Source organism: Homo sapiens, chromosome 12 (assembly GCF_000001405.40).
Source record: "Homo sapiens chromosome 12, GRCh38.p14 Primary Assembly".
NCBI classification, from domain to species: domain Eukaryota; kingdom Metazoa; phylum Chordata; class Mammalia; order Primates; family Hominidae; genus Homo; species Homo sapiens.
Window position 1 is genome coordinate 132,198,841 of NC_000012.12, and position 24,522 is coordinate 132,223,362.

At 57.8% G+C, this 24,522-nt stretch overlaps 1 protein-coding gene and 1 long non-coding RNA gene across 6 annotated transcripts in view, besides 1 other annotated feature; one reads left to right on the forward strand and one right to left on the reverse strand.

The window, feature by feature from the left end:
* Positions 1–24,522, reverse strand: part of GALNT9 (polypeptide N-acetylgalactosaminyltransferase 9) — a 133,218-nt gene that overhangs the window by 2,469 nt on the left and 106,227 nt on the right. Inside the window, exons 1-5 of one of the 2 annotated variants that reach the window (NM_021808.3) lie at positions 7,083–7,188; positions 6,721–6,871; positions 4,665–4,850; positions 2,284–2,421; positions 334–429 (exon numbers count right to left, since the gene is read on the reverse strand). In NM_021808.3, the coding sequence (NP_068580.2) occupies positions 334–429; positions 2,284–2,421; positions 4,665–4,829 (399 nt within the window). In that variant the 5' untranslated portion in view covers positions 4,830–4,850; positions 6,721–6,871; positions 7,083–7,188. Of the gene's footprint in view, positions 1–333; positions 430–2,283; positions 2,422–4,664; positions 4,851–6,720; positions 6,872–7,082; positions 7,189–24,522 lie in introns of those variants that run through there. The other variant, NM_001122636.2, reaches the window with a different exon arrangement.
* On the forward strand, positions 423–8,261 carry LOC105370091 (uncharacterized). Of its 4 annotated transcripts, XR_007063541.1 has the most exons (6): positions 423–525; positions 854–1,112; positions 2,341–2,447; positions 2,599–2,816; positions 5,623–6,840; positions 6,947–8,261. It is a non-coding gene; the product is annotated as an uncharacterized LOC105370091 (long non-coding RNA). The 4 variants fall into 4 exon arrangements; XR_007063540.1 differs by having other exon boundaries at positions 5,623–8,261; XR_007063539.1 differs by having other exon boundaries at positions 2,341–2,435; positions 5,623–8,261.
* Positions 20,432–21,292: an enhancer, noted in NCBI's record as "H3K4me1 hESC enhancer chr12:132703817-132704677 (GRCh37/hg19 assembly coordinates)". NCBI's record gives its function as "activates a minimal SCP1, AML or CMV promoter by ChIP-STARR-seq in naive H9 embryonic stem cells {active_cell/tissue: H9 hESC(naive)}" and the evidence as "EXISTENCE:reporter gene assay evidence [ECO:0000049][PMID:30033119]".

Sequence of the window (24,522 nt, forward strand, 5' to 3'; positions counted from 1 at the left end):
AGGGTTTCGCCACGCTGCCCAGACTGGTCTCAATTCCTGGGCTTAAGTGATCTGTCTGCCTTGGCCTCCCATCGTGCTGAGATGACAGGCGTGAGCCACTGCACCCGGCCCAGGCTGTTTTCAATTCCCCGTGTTCTGCTACCTTCCAGGTGGGGCGGGCTGGGAGGCCTCTTCTAGAGGGGCCCTCAGGCTGCTCCAAGCCCTGGAATGCAGCCCTGGTGGCCTCAGAACACCCCAGCAGGCTGGACCCGTGCCTCTGCCCCAGGGTGTAGGGTCCGGGTGGCCTGGGGTCGTCCCCTTGGGAGCTGCATGGGTGGCCGCTGCTACTCCTACCTGGGAGGACATCCCGTGGCAGGGGTAGAGGATCGCCCGGTCGCCGTCCTCCGCTCCCTGGTCCAGACAGTAGGCACTGGCTTTGCTGTTTCTCACCTGCAAGCAGAAGCCCCAGGAGAAAGTCCAGAGTCACCCGAGGGTGCGGCCCCAGGGAGCTTCACGCAGCCAGCTCTGCAGCCAGCACCTAAGGAGGTGCCCGCGGGAGGAGGAGGGGGCGTGTGGGATGCTCTGGCCGGGTGGGCTGCCTGGGAAGGGGTGGCTGACCGAGTTTGTCACTGATGGAGACATGGAAGTGTCCGCCATGCACAGATGGAGACTTGGCCATCACTCCATAGGGGAACACTTGAGCAGCAGGGACGACGGCCCCAGGCTGTGGAGTGGCTTCCCTGCCTTGCCGCCTGCTCCCTGTGCCCTTGCGGCTCCCACTGAGTGGGTAGAGACCGCTCGCCAGCCTTGCAGTCTAGGCTGGCCTTGGCTTGGACCCTTGGGAGACCTTCCAGCTTCCACTCTGTCTTGGAAGGAACCCTGACAGCCCTCTGAGAACAAGCCCGGGCCAGACTGCTGGGGGATGTGTTGTCATCGGGCAGCCAACCTCCAGCCTCCAGAACAGGCCCATCGGAGATCAGCACAGCCTGGATCAGGCCAGCAGCACTGCCTGGGTGGCCCCGGCTCGTGAGCAAGTGTAGATGCTTATTGCTTTTGTCCACCGCGTCTCCAGGCTGCTGGGTTTGCAGCAGCAGCTGACCCATCCACCACGGCCACCACGAGAGGTCACACAGGTTTGAATTGGGACCGTTGAGGAAGCCCAGCAGAGTCTGGATGTTACGGCTGCTCTGGGTTGGGGGTGCCTGCACTTGGCTAATTGAGGATGGAGTGGGCAGAGTAGAAGCACAGGGAGGCTGGGGGAGAGGGGCGGTGCCCCGATGCACACTCAGCACTGCCTGGGAAACCTCTGTGCCCAAGGGACTGGAGTCAGCGCAGGGTGGACCAGGAGCTGCAGGAGGGGAGGCTCAGCGAGGACCATCCACCCCAGGGACCCTTTTCCTTGCCCCATCCGAGTGCCAGCTCAGGGCTGGGACGCTCGAGTCTCATGGTGGGAGGCACCCCATCCCCTGCACAGACTGGGGAGAGGGCAGAAGAGCAGCACCTTCTCGCTGGCTTTACGGAGTGCTGTGCATGTGGGGGCCAGTGGAGACGGGGGTCTCTGTGTAGCTGATGGGCCTGTGTGAGTGTGCATATCACCCATTGTGTGCATCTGTGGGGGCACCTTCATGCATGCACGCTGGTGTATGAACGTGGCTCCGCATATGTGGATGCACAGACGTGTACACACACACATTATTTTGCTTGATAACAAGGGCCTGTGTGTTTATCTGTGCACAGGCAGGCGCCTTTGGGGTTCATGCACTTAGTGAAACATACATCTGTGTAGGAAGAGCTGTGTACATTAGCAAAACTGGGTGCAAATGTATACTCGTGTCCGCGTGCTCTTGTACATATGAGTGTTTGCATGGATTTACGTACCTGCCTGTGAATGTCTCTGTACACACATCTAGGTGAGTGCATGTATCCCTATGTACACATACGTGAGAGCGTAGGTACATTGAATCAGGCATGTGAACACGCATGGATGTGACTACACACCTGCCTGCCTCTAGGGAGGTCCATGTGAAGGAATGGGTGTGTATGGACATGTGGGTCTGCAGGTGCGTGTGTTTATGTGAACCTGCACCTTGTGTGTGCACGTGGATGTGCCTGCATCACCGTGAATGCACACGTGTGTGCAGGAGTCAGGGCGGAAGGCCTGTCGGGCCGAGTGGGACCCTCTGGGGGAGGCGCTACCTCTCCGTGTGCATGTGGATGTGCCTGCATCACCCTGAATGCATACGTGTGCAGGAGTCAGGGCAGAAAGCCTGTCGGGCCGAACGGGGCCCTCGGGGGAGGTGCTACCTCTCCGTACGTGAGGGTGTTGTTGTAGACCCTCATCTCCGGGTACACGTTCTCCAGGTACCACTTGAAGCTGCGACACTTCAGCCTCTGACGCAGGGCCAGCCTCTCAGACACGTCCCCGAAGTCCACCCCTGGGTTCTGCAAGGCCAGAAGTAGGTGAGAGGGTACATGGGTGTCACCATGACCTGGGTCTTCCCCATAATGAGGTTGGGGGTCTCCAGGGACCAAGTGCCCTCACAGGAGCAGCCTCCCCCCCAGTATTCAGATGCTGAGGCCCCATCCAGTTGGGACCCCCCAGCCTCCTAATATCCACAGAGGGTCTGAGGCAGCTGCTCCTGATGGGAAGGACCCTGCCAGAGGCCAGCCCCGGCCTGGACAGACGGCCCCTGCTGCAGCCGGCTCGTCCACACCCACCCGGGCCCAGGAACCTCCTGCCTGAGAAGACGGCCCTGCTCACCTGGCCTTACTGCACGGCATCAGCCTGACCTCTGGAGGGTGGAGACTGAGGTCAGCCATATCCAGAGACCAGCCTGGTGAGGACCCTGGATACTGAGGCTTGGGGGCTCCTGGCTGGCCCCGCCTGGCACGTGTTGTCACGCATGGGTGCCGGAGAATCAAGTCCTTGGGACCCCCCGCGGGGGGACACCTGAGAGCTTGTACCTGGCCTTTCCTGGTCCCTGCCCAGGCGTCTCTTCCCTCTGCTGACTTTGACCCGTGTCCTCTGCCGTGAGAACCCACAGCCGAGTGCGGTGTCTGTGTCTTCCTGGGACTGTGGGGCCTGAGAGGCTGTAGGGACCAGCACTCTCTGACGGACAGCCAGCCCTGAGGGAGCACCTGCACCCTGCCCAGGGACCCTCCAGGCTCAGGCCTTGTGGGGAGGGCAGACGACTTGGCCTTCACGGCCTGGGCTTGAATCCCGTCACCTTCTGGTATGTGGGCCTGGGACAGTCCCCTATCTTCTCTGTGCCTCAGTTACTCATTGGTAAAGTGGGGACGATCACGCCAGAAACTCATTGTTGCTCTGTTATGAGGTTTTAATCAGCCAAGGGGCTCACACCAGGGCCCTTGGACACGGAGGTGACAGGCATTTGCCGGCCTCACTGCCCGGGGGCCTGGAGCACCTCACTCAGTTGCCCACACACTTGGGGAGGTCATCACCCTGCACGTTTTCCTTATCACTTCATGGAAAACAAGGCTGTAGGAGCACCGGGTACCCTCTTCTCGTCTCTCAGACACGAGTGCACGTGTCTACGGCTCCTGATCTGCCTGGCGGGAGCTGATATGGGGGCTGGATGCTGGATTTGCAGTGAATGGTCCAGCCCGGGGCCACTTCAGGCCGTGTCACCCACACGCTGGGGTGCACTCTAGCAGGGGGTGGTAAGCCAATTTAGGGGCTGTGGTGGGAAGTTTTAAGAAGTAGTAATATTGTAAATGAGAAGGGTCACTTTGGTGCTACGTACACAAAGCGCTGTATGTGGACAGATGTAAATGTATGCGTGTGTGCGCTGGGTCATGACTTAAGATCTGGCTCATTAGGGTTGATGCAGACAAGCCCGTTTCTAAGATGAGCCCTCCCAGAACTCAGGGACCCAGTGCCTGCAGTGGCCAGGGAAGGAAGGGGGTGGTTCCAGAGACGCTGGGGTGTGGCGGGATGGGTCGCGGCCACCCGTCTCAGTACCTGCCTTTCTTAGGGTTGTGGGGGTGGGGCGCTTTGAGAAAAGCCAGAATTCAGGCTCTTTATGGGAAATTACAAATTAGAAAACAAACAGCAATCCTCAACTTGAAGCGGGTCAGCCACTCATAGGCCAAAGCCCAACAGGAAACAACCAAAAACGTCCATCCACGGACGAGTGGATCCACACGAGGGGCCCTTTCACACTGTGGACGTGACTCAGCCATGGTGGGGGTGACCTGGAAAAGGTGGCGCTGAGGACGGGAAGCCACACAGCGTATGAGCCGTTCATGAAACCGCCAGACAGTTGAGGCTGCCCGGGGCTGGGGAGGGGTCCGCACTGGCTGACAGGTGCTGTGCAGGGCACTAAGTGGGGCCCTGGCTGAGGCGGCGGCACCAGGTTGGGGAGAGGCCGCCCCTCCCTGGCTTCTAACCACGGGGCAATTGCTCTAGGCTGAGAGGAAAAACGCCCACCACACCGGGGTGGGTGTGAGCTGGTCTCTTCCCAGTGTGAGGAAGGCTCCTTCCCAGGCAGACAGCTCACCCACTCACACCTGCACACACAACTGCTTGCACCTGTGCACACCTGTCAACACACCCACTCACACCTGCAGGGGGCCCTAGGGGGCCTCCCTCCGGCCCAGCCCTGCCGTGGCATTGACCCCGACCCTGGGGCATGGCCCCGGCTCCCGGCCTGTGGGGGACTCACCGACATGGGGATGTTCCAGGCCATGTACACGTGGGACTTGAAGTCATCCATCCACACCTCGGCGGCGCGCAGGGCGTTGCGCTTGGCATAGTAGTCAATGTCGTTGTTGTAGGGCTTCCTGGTGCGCTCGATGTGGGCCACGCGGGAGCAGGGCAGCACCTCCATGCTGCCGCCACACTGCCACACCTGCGGGGAGACGGCGCTGGGTGCCGGCGTCCTTCCCAACGGAAGCGGGCAGCCCGGCCAGCTAGGGGCCCGTGAGAGGCCAAGGGGCCCGGCCCTCTGTTCCTGGGGCACCCCCACCACCGACGGGCCTGGTGGGTCCCGGGGCTTTGCCTCTCGGGGGCTGTTTTCAGGGGACCCCGCCCACAGAGAAAGTTCAGGTCTGGGTTGCGTCCTCTCTGGGACTTCTTTCTCTTGTGCGTTACACGATGGCTGTGGGGAGGGGGGTTTATTCTACCGACCCCAACACTTAACAGGTTTTTCACCCTGTGGTTCCCACCCCCAGTGCTTGTTCTGTGCAGGGAACCCCCCGCCCCACTGCACCAGCCACCTCCCCCAGCACCCGAACACACCAACAATCTGTTTACAAACAGCTGCTTGCCATGCAGACACCGCTCCACGCATCCCCAGAACACACACAATCAAAAGCCCAACCAGCCTCCCCAGCTAATAAAACCCCGCAGCCCCTGGCTTTCTGAACCCCCACGCGCAGCAGAAACGTGTTTGTCACTGCGTATCCTTTTATGCTTCCTTCCGTGTCGTTCCACTTAAGCAATACCAGCCTTCCTATACGTGCTCTTTCACTCCGGTTTGTCCCCCCGCGCTGTCCTGCCTGTGAGGGTTGGTTTTGTGTCAGCGTGGCAGGGAACAGGGTGCTGGGACGTTTGCTCTCCCGATTCTGGGTGGTCTGTGCATGGCCTCTGGTGGGAGCCGTGTTTAAATCTGTCCCCTACAGGCCTGAGTAGGACAGAAAGGCCGAGGCAGGGAGTGTTCACACACTCTGCTCGATTCGGGCTGGGACGTGGGTCCTCCCCTGCCTTCAGGCTTGGAGCTCACGCCACCGGCTCTCCTGGGCGCCTGCCAGCCGACGGCCAATCTCGGTACCCTCAGCCCCCGTAACCGGGTGAGTCAATTCCTTAGATGAACTTTCACAGCTAAGCCCACGTCCCCACCATCTGCTATTAATCTGTTTCCCTGGAGAGCCCTGAGCCAGCCCCGTCCCATCCTATCCTACCCTATCCTGTGCTGTCCCATCCCATCCACCCCATTAAAAAAAGGCCGATGCCACCCACGGGCTGACATCACTATGAACAAATGGGTCTGATCCACGTGGCCCAAGCTCCGCCGTGCTCAGGTCCTCAGCCCTGAGCCTGCCATGCTGGACGAGTGTGCCAGGCCCAGGGCGGGCACTGTGCTTGCCTCATCTCCTGAATCCCCCCACCACCCGAGAAAGGGTGGGCAGCCCTGGCATTGCCCCGTTCCCTCCGCGGTGCTGAGAAGGTGCCGAGGCCGAGGGTGGTGCCAACTGCAGGGGCGCACGGGGTGGAGCCTCTGCCCAGCTGAGCTCGGATCCCTCAGTCATCCCTGGACTCTGGTTCATCCTCGTCCAGGCTGCTCTCATCTCCAGGCCGTTATCTTAATCATGTCTGCAAAGATCCCTTTTCCCAAAGAGGGCCACACTCACACGTCCCCTAGCTGCATCCTCCGGGGGTCGCCTGTCAGCCCAGCCCACCCCAGAGGCCCAGTCCCTTGTGTGGGGGAGCAGGGGGCTCCTCCCTCCCCCGGACTCTCTGCCTTCAGGAAGCCGAGTCCCAGGGAGAGAGAGAACCGGGAGGCCGTATCGCCGATCACTTACGGCTGCTCCGACACCGCCCACCGCAGGACAGATCCAGAGTCCGGGGCAGGAGGGAGCCGCTCCCTCCTCGCCGAGATGACCACACAGCACGCAGCTAACGCCAGGCTCCCTGACCCCGGTCCGGCAACCCAGAGCCTCCTCGCTGCTCAGCTCAGCCCAGCCGGGGACACCCCCGCCCCACAGTCCCACGTCACCCACAGGGGTCCGGCTCCTTCCCCGGGATGGTGGAGTCCGCGGCGCCGCCGTGCCAGGCTGAAGTTGGCCTTTGCATCCCGAGGGAGCGAACCGCGTTTCTGCATCAGGTTCACATCGTGGCAGGTGGTTTCTGGGTTTCTGTCTGTTGTCTCTGCTGTGGGACAACCTGCCTGAGAAAAGCCTGGGGTTTTCCAGCCCCCTGAGCCGGGGCTTCCTTTCTGCCTTCCAGACTAGGGTCGGGATTTCTGTTCGCAGCGGGAAGGGGCCCCGCTGGTGAATCCCGCCCACCGCCCTCCCACTCCGCGGATGTCTCCCACCCTCAACCTGAGACCACCCAGGTTTCGTGAGAAGGAGGGGGGAAGCACCTCGGAGCCCTGCCCTTCGCTGGAAGGGGCCGGAACGAAGGAAGCTCTGCAGGGGCGGGACAGAGCCTCGTCCTCCATCGTCTGCCCACCCGTCTTCAGAAGCGCCTGGCACACTGGCCTCTGGGACGACCTCCAGCAGTTTCAGCCTCCTTGTCTACCCCCAGTACAGAGGCCACGGTGACTCGGTCCCCCCACCCACCACAGAATCCTGTCCTCGGGCCTCACGCTGGGGAACACGAAGCCCCCCAGGGCTCCTGACGCCTGCCTTGCCCACCCCCTGGGTTCGAAGCACCTTGGCCTTCCCAGCACCCCCACGTGCACCCCTCAGGGCCTTGGCACAGGTGGTGCCCACGCCGGGCGCCCTTCCCAGGTCTCTGCATGCTCCACTGCCTCCAGCCTTCAAAGCTCTAGTGCCAGAGAGATTAGTTAAAGGCACAAAACCAGCCGGGCACAGGGGCCTCACACTTGTAATTCCAGCACTTTGGGAGGCCGAGGTGGGTGGATCACTTGAGGCCAGGAGTTCGAGACCGCCTGGCCAACATGATGAAACCCCATGTCTACTAAAAATACAAAAATTAGCTGGGCATGGTGGCAGATGCCTGTAGTCCCAGCTACTCAGGAGGCTGAAACATGAGAATCTCTTGAACCCGGGAGGCAGAGGTGACAGTGAGCTGAGATCACACCACTGCACTGCAGCCTGGGCGACAGAGCGAGACTCCGTCTCAAAAAAAAAAAAAAAGGACCAAAACCACAGGCAGAGAGGAGCCAGTGCTGGTGCCGCTGAGGGAGGACCGTGGACCTGACCGTGACCCAGCCGGCAACTGGGAGGAGGAGCCGAGCCCCCACACAAGGAAATGGCAAATGTGGAGATGGCGGCTGACCTGAGTGCGGCACGCCATACCCCGTGAACGGGGACAATCCTATTTGTCCATTAAAAAAACCAGCGAGCCTGGGCAACATAGTGAGACACCACCTCCACAGAAAAAAACAAAATTAGCCAGGTGTGGTGGTGCATGCCTGCGGTCCCAGCTGCTTGGGAGGCTGAGGCGGGAGGATCACCTGAGCCCGGGAGGTTGAGGCTGCAGTGAGCCAAGATCACGTAACGCTCTCCAACCTGGGTTAAAGAGTGAGACCCTGTCTGAAAACATAAAAAGTAAAAATAAACCCCAAATGTCACCATCAAGTCTTCAGGGTGAGTCCTCTCCCTCCATCCTGTTTAGAGCCGCCGTCCTTGCCCCATAGCTGGGCGTCCGGACCAGAGGCTCACACCCCTCAGTATGGCGCCGCCTGCTATCCGTCCCCGTCTCTGCCTGTCCCTCCCCATGGCTCAGCTCCGCAGGACAGGGTTTCTGTCGCTTCTGCTCACAGCTGCCTCCCAGTGCTCAGAGCGAGGCCGGGCACACAGTAGGTGCTTGATAAATAGCTGCGGAACGAATGTGTTCCCTTTAGGAACCCCACAGCCACTTACGGCCACTCTGTCCCCGGGGCCTTCTGTGGCGCTGGGGCGATTCCACATGGGAACCTGGTGGGACTGCTGGGCGGTCTGCGAGGCCTCCCCAAGCCAGCTCCACAGGTGCCAGCCCCGTCAGTGTGTGCTGAGCTTGCGGGTGGTGCCGAGGCCCCTTCTTGGGTGAATGCAGCCTCAGGTCTCTCGGCCCTCGGGTCCCCCACCGTGTCTCTAGAAGGACCGAAGCTACGGGAGAGGCGAGGCTCCCGGGCGGTGGGAGTCGGCCAACTTCCATCATTAGCTGAGGACCTGTCACAGCCGGGGACTGGGCTGCTTCAGTCTCCGGGCTTGGGCCGCAGACCCCTGAGCTTTCGGGGTGTGTGAGGTGCCCCCTAAGCACAAGGGCCCACGGCTTGCGTGACCTGGCTTTTCAGCAGGGCCATTAGCTCAGGAGTGATAAAGTCGGAGAGTGAACCCCCATGCCCTCAGCAACATCCCCTTTCCAATCCCTGCAAAACAGGGAAAGAACAAGACAGCCCCCACCCCCCACCACGACTCCTCGCGCAAGCAGCACTGGTGTGTGGCGTCCCCACACCCGGGGCAGGTCTCTTTTCTGCGTCAGAGTTAATGACCGTGTAGTTTTTCACATATTTTGAAGCCAGGGACCAGTATATCATCTGCCTTGTGCCGCGCTCCCCGGGAGATTGATGCTTATGCAGAGGGAGAATTTAAAGGCTCTCCCATCACAGTCTCAAGGGAAACAGTTTAACCCCTCTATAAATTTCAGATGAATATTGGCAATAACTTCTCCACTCTGTGGGCCAGAGGAGACCAACACCTAAGGATCAGGCAAAATCCTCCCACAGGAGCCAGAGGCACTTGGCCCCCCTCTCAGGGGCTCTCAAGAGGCAGGAGGCCCGGGCCCCTCCCCTTCCTGGCCACACTAGAGGAAGATCAGGTGAAGGAGGCCGGAGCCCGGCTGGCACTCTGCACTGAGAGCAACTGGGGATAAGCTGGACTCGCCTTCTGGCGTCTGTGTGTGCAGCTCTCCCCACTGAGAGGGGGACGCTATCACCCTAGGCCTTCGTCACGTGATTTGCTTGGACCAACAGAAAGGGCCAGAACCCACCCAGTGCCAAGGCCAAGCTTGGGCCTCAGGAGACTGCACTCACACCGATCTCTGTCTTGTAACCTGGCCGCCAGCATGAGGATGAGAGACCATGTGGAGCAGAGAGAAGCCGCCCAGCTGAGCCCATTCCTCCCCACCCCAACCAGCCAACCCCGCTCACCTGGCTGCTGACTGCCGGCATCAGCAAGGCCAGCTGAGAGCAGAGCCGCTCTGCTCCACATAGACCATGTGCCAACCCAGAGTTGTGGGCCAAGGAAATGGTTGTCTTAGGCCGCAACATTTCAGAGTGGATTGTTACACATCCAAGAGCTGACCCATCCATGCTGCTTTGGCAGGTACAGCTGGCAAAGACCCTCACTCCTGTGGCTTCCTTGCATGCAGCACATAGTACCAGTTAATGCTAGTTACTAGCCATGCATCCCCACTGCCCAAGACAATCCGAGTTGATACCCCTGTCTTGGGGTAATTATTAATAGCACCTCTGGTAACTCTCAGGTGTCCTGGTTTGGGTGACGATGCCTGTGGTCACCCCCGTGCTACCTGACCATCTGGCCCCACAGCCAGGGCGGAAGTCCAAGCATTAGAGCCATTCAAACCACATCGTGAACAGGGGCTGGGTAAGATGAGGCTGAGACCCACTGGGCTGCATTCCCAGATGGTGAAGGCACTCTAAGTCACAGGATGAGATAGGAGGTCGGCACAAGACACAGGTCACAAAGACCTTGCTGATAAAATAGGTTGCAGTAGGCCGGGTGCGGTGGCTCACGCCTGTAATCCCAGCAGTTTGGGAGGCTGAGGTGGGTGGATCATGAAGTCAAGAGATCGTGACCATCCTGGCCAACATGGTGAAATGCCGTCTTTACTAAAAAAAATAAATAAATAAATAAATAAAAAATAAAAAATTAGCTGGGCATGGTGGCGTGCACCTGTAGTCCCAGCTACTTGGGAGGCTGAGGCAGGAGAATTGCTTGAACTTGGGAAGCAAAGGTTGCAGTGAGCCGAGATCGCACCATTGCACTCCAGCCTGAGTGACAGAGCAAGACTTCATCTCAAACAAACAAACAGGTTCCAGTAAAGGAGCCGCCAAGTCCCACCAAAACCAAGATGGCAACGAGTGACTTGTGGTCATCCTCACGGCTCATTTTATGCTCATTATAATGCATTAGCTGCTAAAAGACACTCCCCCCAGCACCAAGACAGTTCACAGATGCCATGGGAACGTCAGGAAGTTACCCTGCGTGGTCTAAAAAGGGTGGAGCCCTCAGTTCGGGGAAATCCTGCTGCCTTTCCCAGAAAACTCAGGAATAATCCATCCCTTGTTTAGCAAATGATCAAAAAATAACCACAAAAGTTAATTAGTAAATAATCAACCAGCAGCCCTGGGGGCCACTCTGCCTGTGGAGCAGCCATTCTTCTCTTTACTTCATTTCTTTACTTCTCTAATAAACTTGCTTTCACTTTACTCTGTGGACTCGCCCCGAATTCTGCCTTGTACAAGATCCAAGAGGCCTCTCTTGGGGTCTGGATGGGGACCCCTTTCTGGTCACACGAGGAAGACACGGGTGGCGTGGGTGACACACCAAGGCTGAGGGGCCGTCACTAACTGCAGAGGCCAGAGATGGGAAAACAGGAGACTCCTCCAGAGATGGGTGGGTCCCTGGGGCCCGTCGTCTGCAGGCCCCGGGCTGGCACATCACAGCGAGAGGAGAGACAGGAGAGGGGCCCTGCTGCGCGTGGGCGTTGGGTCAAAAACTCCCCCTGTACATTCAGGACTGACGTTGTCTTTGGCGGCGCTGTGGGCCTGGCAAAGGGCCTGCGGGCGAGGCCGTCCCGTGAAGTCGGACCTGTTCTTCTGGTCAAGGCAAGCAAAGCAACAGGGCTCGTAGGGTTCTCCTGGAAGCGCTGGGGACATGCGGCCTTCATCGTGAAACTGTCATCTAGAGGGGAGGCAGGCGAGGCTCAGACGTCACACTCATCACGTGTGGGTGCAGCTGGAGGACTGAGTGGGGCCATGAGGCTTGGGCAGGAGGTGCGCCCTGGCTGGGGACGGCTTCCTGAACCCCAGCTCTGAGCGGAGATGGGTGGCGAGTGGGGTTAACTGGCGGTGAGACACAGGCATGCTTGAGGCCCGAGCCCCGTCCTCCTGGGCTGTGGGGCTGTGCAGAGCTGGCATGGGCAGGCTGTGCTGCGGTCAGGGAAGCTGACCATCTTAATGGTTGAATTGAGAAGAAGCTCCAACTTGCCAAAAGCCAAACTTGCACCAAAAAAGGGCTTGGTCGCCATCTGGAGGTCGCCGTCTGGCGGTTGCCATCTGGGTGGTCGCCGTCTGGAGGTCGCCGTCTGGAGGTCGCCGTCTGGCGGTTGCCATCTGGAGGTCGCCGTCTGGGTGGTCGCTGTCTGGAGGTCGCTGTCTGGTGGTCGGCTGCCGGCCTGACTCACAACAGCTTTCTGAATCCTGGCAAAACCATCACACTTGAGAGGTGCGCTCAGCAAATCCATGAGATGCACCAAAAATCGCGGTGCCTGCCGCCGGCCTCAGTCCACAGAAAGGGCCCAGTTCTTCTCCACCACAACGCCTGGCTGCACGTCACACAACCAACGCTTCACAAGCTGAACGAATTGGGCTGCAAAGTTTTGCCTCATCCGCCACATTCACCTGACTTCTCGCCAACCAACTACCGCTTCTGCAAGCCTCTCGACAACTTTTTGCAGAGAAAACGCTTCCACAACCAGCAGGATGCAGAAAATGCTTTCCAAGAGTTTGTCAAATCCTGAAGCACAGATATATTTATGCTACAGGAATAAACGAACTTATTTCTCATTGGCAAAAATGTGTTGATTGTAATGCTTCCTATTTTGACGAATAAAGGTGTGTTTGAGCCTAGTTATAATGATTTAAAGTTCATGATCCGAAACTGTAATTACTTTTGCACCGACCTAGTACGAGAAAACACCTCAGACGCTGTCACCACAGCAGTGAGGAGGCAACCTCGTGTCTATTCGGTCAAACCACATGCAGCTGCCTTTCGCGCTGGCCAGAAACAGCCGTGTATCCGCAGTCTTACTGTGATCCGCTCACTCCGTCCACCCTCTCTCGTCCACCTGGCCATTCTGTGTCCCTCATCCTCTGTCTCCACCGTGGTTTTCCCGAATATTCTCTCTGTGAAAGGCAGCAGGCCCAGAGCTTCCCAGAGCATTTCCCCCTCTCCGTCGAGGGGACCCTGGGGCAGGTCCTTCAAGAGCATTTGTGGGAATTAGGAGATGGGCACGGAAGGCTGAGGAGTATGTCCAAGTCACCCAGCCAGCACCTGAGGCAGCCAGACTCCAAACTTGGTCCCCAACAGCAGGCCACGTGCTCACACACTGCACCCCTGCCCTGCAATCCACGCCTGTGGGCTGTGGCCCATGTGACGGTTTTACATCTGCTCAGGAGGTGAAGGTCCCATTATTCAGTGGATGTGAGGTGCTGCTGGGACCATGTCTGCAGCTGTGAGTGATGCTTGCGTCAGTGGACACTCCGCATGGCAGCGGACGTGCACGCAGGCAGGCCCCACCCAGCCAGGCATTGAGAGAAAAGACGGGTGGGGAGTTCCCAGAGAAGGATGCCAGCCTTCAGACCGTGACACGGAAACCCCACCCGGGTCTACAGCCTTCACACCACGACACGGAAACCCCACCCGGGTCTGCAGCCTTCAGACCTCGACACGGAAACCCCACCCGGGTCTGCAGCCCTCAGACCTCGACACGGAAACCCCACCCGGGTCTGCAGCCCTCAGACCTCGACACGGAAACCCCACCCGGGTCTGCAGCCCTCAGACCTCGACACGGAAACCCCACCCGGGTCTGCAGCCCTCAGACCTCGACACGGAAACCCCACCCGGGTCTGCAGCCCTCAGACCTCGACACGGAAACCCCACCCGGGTCTGCAGCCCTCAGACCTCGACACGGAAACCCCACCCGGGTCTGCAGCCCTCAGACCTCGACACGGAAACCCCACCCGGGTCTGCAGCCCTCAGACCTCGACACGGAAACCCCACCCGGGTCTGCAGCCCTCAGACCTCGACACGGAAACCCCACCCGGGTCTGCAGCCCTCAGACCTCGACACGGAAACCCCACCCGGGTCTAGCAGCCCTCAGACCTCGACACAGAAACCCCACCCGGGTCTGCAGCCCTCAGACCTCGACACGGAAACCCCACCCGGGTCTGCAGCCCTCAGACCTCGACACGGAAACCCCACCCGGGTCTGCAGCCCTCAGACCGTGACATGGAAACCCCACCCGGGTCTGCAGCCCTCAGACCGTGACACGGAAACCCCACCCGGGTCTGCAGCCCTCAGACCGTGACACGGAAACCCCACCCGGGTCTGCAGCCCTCAGACCTCGACACGGAAACCCCACCCGGGTCTGCAGCTCTCAGACCGTGACATGGAAACCCCACCCGGGTCTGCAGCCCTCAGACCGTGACATGGAAACCCCACCCGGGTCTACAGCCTTGAGACCGTGACACGGAAACCCCACCCGAGTCTACAGCCTTGAGACCTCGACACGGAAACCCCACCCGGGTCTGCAGCCCTCAGACCTCGACACGGAAACCCCACCCGGGTCTGCAGCCTTCAGACCTCGACACGGAAACCCCACCCGGGTCTGCAGCCCTCAGACCTCGACACGGAAACCCCACCCGGGTCTGCAGCCTTCAGACCTCGACACGGAAACCCCACCCGGTTCTGCAGCCCTCAGACCTCGACACGGAAACCCCACCCGGGTCTGCAGCCTTCAGACCATGACACAGAAAACCCACCCACTGCCCACCTTAAGGATCTCAGACTTGGCAACCCCACAATTGTGTGAGCCAATTCTTAGAATCAATCAATTTCTTCACACACACACATGAAAATGCACCGCAGATGCACACGTGTGCAACATAATCACTCAGTCAAGCATACACATGCACTGTTACCCCCACACACAGGCACACTCACACCCACACACACGCACTCCACTCACACACAGGCGCACTCACACACACGCACTCCCACCCACATACAGGCGCACTCACACAGTCACACACAGGCACTCCCACCTACACACAGTCACACACACACACTCACACACATGTGCACTCAGCTGTCATTCCTGTCAGCCTCTGATGTACCTGCAGGGACAGCTCATTCTGTGAGCACCTAGGGGTTCTGGGGTCAGCCCTCATGTCCGAGGAGGGGTGTTCAGGGGACATGAGGCCCACTGTGGCCTCTGCATTCTCCAGGTGGCACCGGGGACCTGAGGAGGCCCCAGCTTGCTGCCAGCTCTCTCGAGCAGAATGCAGACACGTCCCAGAAGCTGAAAGAAAGAGCCTCGACTGCATCAGTTGGTGCGCGTGGGCGCTGACAGTCCAGAACAGCCCGGTCACGGAGCAGCCCTGGAGATGCAGGCCCAACCCCACCCCCTATGTCCGCACACCCTCCCTGCAGCATGAGTCCAGGGACACCCGCGACTCCGAGTCCTCAACCACCCCCGCTCCCTGCCAGGTCAGGCGTGGGGATGGGGGTCTGGGCCCCTCAGTCCTCCCAGGTGAAAGCCGGGACACCACCCTCACAAGGATTACCAGGAGGGGCACTGACCCCAAGGGCACCTGGAGAAGAGAGAGCCGATTCCGGGGTGCCGTGTGTGAGGTCCCTGATGGTGGCTCCTTTGGAGATGGCTGGAGAACCACGCCTGTGATTCCACTGTCCCTAACCAGGCCAGCGACTCCGCCCTCCCTCACCACACCGGCGACTCCACCGTCAGCAGGAGCCCAGGGATGAAGGGGGCGAGCAGGAGCGGAGCCCGTGTATTAATCATGCTTTCATATTTTCTGTATCTGATGCTTTGACATCTGGAACCTCACTAGCCCGAGAGGCCTGCCCCTCCCGGGTGAGTGATTTCCTAGAGCTAGTGAGCACCCCCCCAGCGTCTTTCCAAATGCAAACCAGGCAACGAGAGTCCACGCCCCACCAGCCAACGCGAATCCACAGCCCACTGCCTCTGTCCTTCACTCTGGGCTACCATCCTCCCACCCAACCACTCAGGAGGATGGCCCATGCCCCAGAGCTGCTGAGACGATGGAAGCCAGGCCCCCCAGGCCTGCTCACCCGGCCTTGCCCATTCCTGGCCACATCCCCCTCATACCCTCTGCCTCCTGTCCAGCCTGGTGCCTCCTGGGTGGCCCTGCCTGGTGGTACCCCCTTCTCTGGGATCCGTGCGTAACAAACCATCTCACCAATGGCCATTGTCTCCTGGCCTGCTGGCTGCGCTGTCCTGAATAACGATAAAGCCACTTGGAGACCAGGGCAGGCGGTGGCACCCTGTTCCTGCTCAGTTCTGTGGCACGCCATTCCTGCTCAGCTCCTGATCTTGCAGAGCAGGGGATGCACACCCGTCACAGAGGCCCATCTCACTGTTCTACGCGGATCTGGAAGATTCTGGCTGACAGGCAAAGCCAGCGTGAGGCTGTGAGAGTGGAGAAACCTGCCGGCCTCTGTAGCACCCTCCGCTGGTGCTGACTGGCCTGTCAGCGTCCTCACCTGCCACGCTGTCCTGCCCGTTTAAGGGCGTTTGGGAGGAAACGCGACACAATCGCTGTTGGTTTCCAGACGCCGGGTCTCCGCAGCTCTGGGTGGCTTTGTGGCCGCTTCGGCAGAACAGACACAGGTTTCATCGGGGCCCTGCCTGGAGCCCCAGCTCTTTCTCGTGGTTTGCAGGTGACACAGCCCAGGCTCTCAGGGACAAAAGTACTTCCTCGCACACCGAGCTGCAATTTACCAGCCCTCCTGTCGGGCTGTAGGCCCCACACACGAGACACAGTCAGTTTCTAAATGGAGGCCAGGACGCGGCGCCCGGCACCGCCTGGATGCCACTGCAGCCCGGGGAGGATTGCTGGGTGTGGCCCTCGCTCTTGGTGAGGCTGTTTGTGTGCTGGCCTCGACGGAGAGCACAAGCAGCTCCTCCAGGGAGGGCGTGCTTCCTCCCTTTCCCAAGAGCGCTGCCATGCCAGGGCTTGGCGAGTGCGGGGACCACTCCGAGGGCCAGGCAAGGCTAGCGTGGCCCAGGGTCCACTTGATCCTGCTTGTTGGCTCCAAGACCGAGGTTCAAGAATGAAGCCAGCCCTCTTTGTATCATCAGGACACACATGCCAACCAGCACCCGGGTCCCACGAGGCCGGGCTGGCACCATCACAGCCACCACGTGGCTCACGTGGCAGCACAGAGCAGCCAGTGGGCATGGGCGGGGGGCAGCCTCGCATGGCCACATGGGACCCAGCACGGGACCCAGGTGCCCTCCATCACCTCCTGGGTGCTGGCCCTCCCTGACTCACAGCAGGGGATGGAGAGGGGGTGAGGGGGCGGAGAGTAGGGTTGGGGGGTGCTTCTGGGCCAGGCCTGAGGGGCTGCGTCCCCCTCCCCAATCCCCTGTCCAGGACTCAGCCAAAGGACTCCTAAGGGACAGTGGCTGGACGTGTGGAGGGAAGGGAGACGGTGGCGGGGCACACACAGGGGCTTGTCCATGCCCATCTAATGATAGACAGAGACATAGAGAGACGTAGACAGAGACACAGAAACAGAGACAGAAAGATACAGAGACACAGAAACAGAGACAGAAAGATACAGAGACACAGAGATGGAGAGACAGAGGCATGAGATAGAGACATAAGACAGAGACATGAGAGACAGACACGGAGAGAGAGACAAAGGAACAGATTATAGAGAAGACAGAGATAGAGATGAAGACACAGAGAAAGACACACAAACAGAGGAAGACAGAGAGACAGAGAGAGGGGCACAGCCCCTTGCTTCTCTCCCCACAGGGTCCCTCACACAGGGAGAACAATGTGGAGGCTTTCCTGGAAGGGTCATTTGCTGACGACGTCCTGGAGACCAGCACCAAGCACTCTCATCTGCAGGCAGGACGGTGCGTGGCACAGCCGCAGGCCCAGCGAGGAGCCAGGACCTGGGTGCTGAGCGCAGTCTGCAGCCTCGGAGGACGGGGTGTTTTCTGTGGCAGGAATGGGACAGGGAGGGGGTCCACAGGCAGGCGGCACTGAGTGTCCCCCATGTCCAGCTCCTCCCTGGTCTCCGCTGGGTGTCTTCCTTCCTAAGATCTGCGTGCCCACGTGGCTACCTTGGGAGGTGTTCCAGCATCTGGGGGGATGAGCAGTTTTCTCTTTGGGCCGCTGACTGGGATGCCCACTCACAAGACTGGAGAGAAGCCGTGGCTGCTTCTGTGGCCAAAGTTCACCTCTTCACTTGGCACCGTTCTGAGCTCGAGGCTTTGGCTCCCAGGCAGCCTGTGAGGCGGCGTTTCTGGGCTTTTCGCCCTTGTGGGCAGTCTGCCCTTGTAAGTGGGAAGAAGAATTTGGGGATAACTTGGCTCTTTCTTGACTGATAGGTTTAGCTGTGTGACGAACTGTGTGTTTCCTTTTGGGTGTTGTGATCCACTAAACTGTTATAAAATCTGGTTTTCACTTTGAAAATAATGAGGATGAGACTTCACCTCTCAAGTTATGGCCACCATTTGCTCAAGCCCACCTCTCTTCCATTTTGCCAATATTCCTTGGATACAGTAACTGATAGAATGACCCACTCATCCACCCATTTACCCATCTACTCACTTATTCACCCACCTAGCCACTATCTATCCACCCATCCACGCGGACTCATCCATCCATCCATCCCTGCATCCAGCCAGCCATCCATTCATCCATCCATGCATCCCACCCACCCATCCATCCATTCACTCATCCATCTATCTATCCATCCAGCCAGCCAGCCATCAATCCATCCATTCACCCATCCATCCACCCACTCATCCATCCATTCCTTTATCCATCCATCTACCTACTCATTCACCCACCTAGCCACTATCTATCCATTCATCTACATGCACTCATCCATCCATCCACTCATTCATCTATCCATCCATCCCTGCATCCAGCCAGCCATCCATTCACCCACCCATGCATCCCCACCCATCCATCCATCCATCCCTGCATCCAACCAGCCAACCATTCATCCATCCACTCACTCTATCCATCTATCCATCCAGCCATCCCCCACTCATCCATCCATCCATCCATCCAGCCATCCATCCATCCATTCACCCATCCCATCCACCCACTCATCCATCCATTCCTTTATCCATCCATCTACCTACTCATTCACCCACCTAGCCACTATCTATCCATTCATCCACACGCACTCATCCATCCATCCATCCACTCATCCATCTATCCACCCATCCATCCCTGCATCCACCCAGCCATCCATCCATCCGTCCATTCACCCATCCATCCACCCACTCATCCATCCATTCCTTTATCCATCCATCTACCTACTCACTCACCCACCTAGCCACCATCTCTATCCACCCATCCATTCATCCACCCACCCACCCATCCATTCATCCACCCACCCACTCACCACTCATCCATCTACCCACCCACTCACCACTCATCCATCTACCCACTCATTTGCCCACCTAGACACCATCTATCTATCCATCCTCCCACCCACTCATCCAGCCACTCATCTACCCATCCATCCACCATTTATCCATCAATCTACCCACTCATTTGCCCACCTAGCGACCATCTATCCCTTCCTTCTTTCACCCACTCATCCATCCACCCATCTGCATTAGTCCCTAGAACCAGCATGACTCTGTCTGGGCGCTGTGCAAAGCTGTGTCATCAAGATGAGGAAAACAACCTTAGAGGCCAAGCAAGCCCTGTGTTCCCAGCCCAGGCCTCCAGGAAAAGGGTTGGATGCACCAGAGGTCCAGGCTGACGCGGACGGAAACCCAGGCATCCTGACCCCCAGGTTGTCTCACCTGGTACAAACCCAAGAGGTACCTAGTCAGCACTTTCCCTTTGGCAGAACGGAATTTCCCCTTTAACAAAAGGCAGGGCTTCATATTCACTCTGGAGGAAATTGTGTGCATACCTTTGAGAGATTTCATTGAACCTGATTTTTAAAAAAGATTTACAATCTGCTTAGCGTGTCCCTGCCCCTGGAGCCCAGGTCGGTTTCGGGAAATGATAATTCCTCTGGTACGGCTGTGGGTGACGCCACCCTCTTGTCACACACATGCCTCGTTCTGCAGCAGCGATCCATCTTCCGGGCAGGATCTGCCTGTATTTATCGCTGGAAAGGCAAATCCCATCTCCCAGGGCGCAGTGGGCGCCATTCATCAATGTCCAACAGGAAACCATCTCTTCCTGGATGACGGAGGTTTCAGATACAATGGAGGCGAAGAAGGCAGTGGCCACAGCATTCCCACCCCAGGGCCAGCCGTTGTCCAGACCCTCCCACTCACCTCACCAAACACTGAGCATCTCAAACAAATGAGAGAAACAGCGTCTTCCTTCCAAACAAGTGGTTCTCAAAGTGACCCAGTAGCACCAATCTCATCTGGAACCCCCAAGAACCGCAAATTCCCAGACCCCACCTGGGACCTGTGGAGTCAGAAGCTCCGGGGAGGGGCGCCCCGCATTTTGAGCTCTCGGGGTGCTGCCGATGGAGCCGTTCGAGGAGAGCAGAGCCAAGTGCCTGAGGCTTCTCACCCGGTCCCACCCCCCTCCACACAATCATCTGTCCCTGAAGCCCTGTCCCTTGATCGGCAGAACGACACCTGGTGGCTTTTTCTGTGATTGCTTCTGTCCTCAAACAGATGAGGATACAGTTTAGGTCATGATTTCTGCAGACCCAGGCCCGCTGCAGCTGTGACGGATGAAATGGTGGGGAAGACATTGGTCAGCACCACAGACATAGAACCCTCCCCTGCCGTTTCAGACACACAGAAACGATAGATCAGTTGTTTTAAAAGTTAAAAGTAACATTAGGAAACAAGGTGAAATTCTCCATAGCTCATGAGGAGCAGAAGCCGGCTGCAGTGAGTGGCATGGAAGCCATGAGGCTCTGGGGACCATCGGCGGGACAGGTGCCGGGCGTGTGGCTCTGATGTCCATTGGCGGGGACAGGTGCTGGGCGTGCGGCCAGGATCCTGGCATGAACTCAGGGTGGGGACGAGCTCAATGAGCAGGAACAGACACTGAAACCAGCTCTGATGGACCCCTGGGGCTGCCGCCAGAAGTGTCCCATGGCGAGAGGCAGCAGCACCCGCGCTTGGGTAAGGGGAAGGGGCACCTCCCCAGGGTGACACCCGCCCGGGTAAGGGGAAGGGACACCTCCCCAGGGTGACACCCGCCCGGGTAAGGGGAAGGGACACCTCCCCAGGGTGACACCCGCCCGGGTAAGGGGAAGGGACACCTCCCCAGGGTGACACCCGCCCGGGTAAGGGGAAGGGGCACCTCCCCAGGGTGACACCCGCCCGGGAAAGGGGAAGGGGTACCTCCCCAGGGTGACACCCGCCTGGGTAAGGGGAAGGGGCACCTCCCCAGGGTGACACCCGCCTGGGTAAGGGGAAGGGGCACCTCCCCAGGGCGGCACCCACCACTGACTTCCACGTCAGGAGTCAGAAGTGCCAGGAGGAGACGCTCTGAAACTTTCTTCCCAGAGTGGGTGCTCATGGAGTTAAGCCACAACTTCCATAAAAGATGAGCACTCAGCAAAATGACAAGGCAGCTGGACGTGGTGGCTCATGCCTGTAGTCCCAGCTACTCAGGAGGCTGAGGTGGGAGGATCACCTAAGCCCAGGAGTTGGAGGCTGCAGTGAGTGATGACTGTACCACAATACTCCAGCCAGGATGACAGCAATACCCTGATAAATAAATAAAGACAAAGCACCTGAGGAAATCCAATTCTAGGAGCGTCAGCCAAGAAATCCAACAAAATTGGTGAATTTAAACCCAAAGAGACAGAAAAAGAGAGTAATTAAAGAGGTCTTAGGACGACTGTTAGAATTTCCAAAGGCATGAAGGAATGAGAGAAAAGCATTAATCAAAAACATGAGTTTATGGATCAAAACAACTATAAAAAAAGAACCAGATATGAAAAATACCCATGGAAGAAAGTCTCCTAAATGTAAGATGCAGTCAGTAACTTGAGAAACCAAGGCTAAGCAAGTGGCTCGAATTGCTGTCTGGATGTGGCTGAAGAGAGGACTTGTTCCTTGGAGTGCAGAACCAGGGGAATTTCCAGGGACACCCCACAGAATGGAAAGGAGATGAGAAACAGGAAGGAGACATCGGCAACCCTGAGGGTCAAAGTCCCACCCACCTCCAACAAGATTTCCACATGGGGAGGCCACGCACTGAGAAACTAAGGACTGTCCAGATTTGTAGAAACACACAGCTGGTGCCTCACACCTGTAATCCCAGCACTTTGGGAGGCCAAGGCAGGTGGATCACCTGAGGTGAGGAGTTCGAGACCAGCCTGGCCAACATGGTGAAACCCTGTCTCTACTAAAAATACAAAAATTAGCTGGGTGTGGTGGCTCACATCTGTAATCCCAGGTACTCGGGAGGCTGAGGCAGGACAATCACTTGAACCTGGGAGGTGGAGGTTGCAGTGAGCTGAGTTCACACCATTGCACTCCAGCCTGGTGAGAGTGAGATTGTGTCAAAAAAAAAAAAAAAAAAAAAGGTCTGGGCGCGATGGCTCTTGCCTGTAATCCCAGCACTTTCGGAGGCCAAGGCAGGCAGATCATGAGGTCAGGAGTTCGAGACCAGCCTGGCCAACATGGTGAAACCTGTCTCTACCAAAAATACAAAAATTAGCTGGGTGTGGTGGTGGGCACCTGTAATCCCAGGTACTCGGGAGGCTGAGGCAGCAGCATCACTTGAACCTGGGAGGTGGAGGTTGCAGTGAGCTGAGTTCACACCATTGCACTCCAGCCTGGCGACAGAGTGAGATTGTGTCCAAAAAAAAAAAAAAAAAAAAAAAAAAAGGGCTGGGTGCGATGGCTCATGCCTGTAATCCCAGCACTTTGGGAGGCCAAGGCAGGCAGATCATGAGGTCAGGAGTTCAAGACCAGCCTGGCCAACATGGTGAAACCCATCTCTACTAAAAATACAAAAATTAGCTGGGTGTGGTGGTGGTGGGTGCCTGTAATCCCAGGTACTCGGGAGGCTGAGGCAGGAGAATTCCTTGAACCCGGGAGGTGGAGGTTGCAGTGAGTTGTGATCATGCCACTGCACTCCAGCCTGGGTGACAGAGTGAGACGTTCTCAAAAAAAAAAAAAAAAAAAAGCAAGCAAGCCTGAGATGGACAATGTATGCAACGCCCCATAACGGAAAAGAAAGGAATCCGCAAACGTCAGGGCTCTGTGATCAGAGGAATTCGGGGGCCCAGAAGCCCACCCCACAGCCGTTCCTGGTACTGCGCTGCTGGGTGACATCGGGTAAATGCAACCCGCACTTGCTGGAATCGAATTTCAGCAAAAGGTTTCTCAGGTTCACATGGGAGAGTAAAAGCAAGAGAATAATAGTCAAGAAAGTCCTAAAATAGTAATGGGGACAGGTTTAATCGCTAGACATGCAGCTATTTTATAAATAATTGTATAAATAATGGCTTAGAGTAGAAAGCTCAAGACAGACAGTGGATTGGGTAAGCCTGTGACGAGGGCTGCTCTTCCGTTCGCGGCTGAGGATGGAGATTTGATGAGTGACCTGAGAAGGCATCGTCCACCATCTTAAAACCTGATAAAGATCAGCAGCTTCCTCATGTGAAAACACACAACTCCAAACGGATGAAGGCTTTTAATTTGAAAAAAGAATTCTACGAGTATCAGAAAGATGTTCAGATGGTCAAACAGGCTTCCCTAAGAACGACAGCAAAGGCACACACCATTAAAACGCACATACCAGGCCAGGCGCAGTGGCTCAAGACTGTGGCCCCAGCACTTGGGGAGGCCGAGGCAGGAGGATTGCTTGAGGCCAGGAGTTCAAGGCCAGCCTGGGCAACATGGTGAAACCCCATCTCCTCACAAAAAGTAGATACAGTTCACAGTTACTAATTCCTGTGTATCAAAAACTCAACACCATAAAATGAAGCCAGACCAACAGGGAAAGCGCTTGGTCACACACGCAGTTTCTGCCCCCAGGGCTAAGAGCTCCTCACATGAACAAGCACACAAGGGGCACCGCGAGCAGCAGCTGGCAAAGGAAGAAAGATGCAGCCGACGATGCGTGGAGCACTCAGGCTYGTTAGCCACGGAGGAAACACAGAGACGCCGCAGAGGCACTTCCTGCATGCCTGTCGTGATTGCAAAAGTGACAATTATCACATTCCATCGGCTCCTGAGTGCTGCAAGACCTGGGAGGCCGCTTTCTCATGAACGACTGAGGAGGAGATACGGACGCTATGGACGCACCCCCCGCCACACACCACACAACCCACACCCTACACAACCCGCACACCACACACACAGACACGCCACACAACACACATACACCCCACACAACCCGCACCCCACACCCCACATACATCCCACACAACCCACACCCCACACACACCACACAACTCACACCCCACACAACCCGCACCCCACACAACCCACACCCCACATACACCCCACACAACCCACACCCTACACAACCCGTACCCCACACACACAGACACACCACACAACCCACACCCCACATACACCCCACACACACACCCCACACCCTACACAACTCGCACCCCAGACACCCCACACACACCCCACACACACACCACACAACCCACACACCACACAACCCACACCGCACACAACCCACACCCCACATACACCCTACACAACCCGCACCCCAGACACCCCACACAACCCACACCCCACATACACCCCACACACCCATCCTACACAACCCACACCCCACACAGACACCCCACACAACCCACACCCCACATACACCCCACACACCCACCCCACACAACCCACACCCCACACAC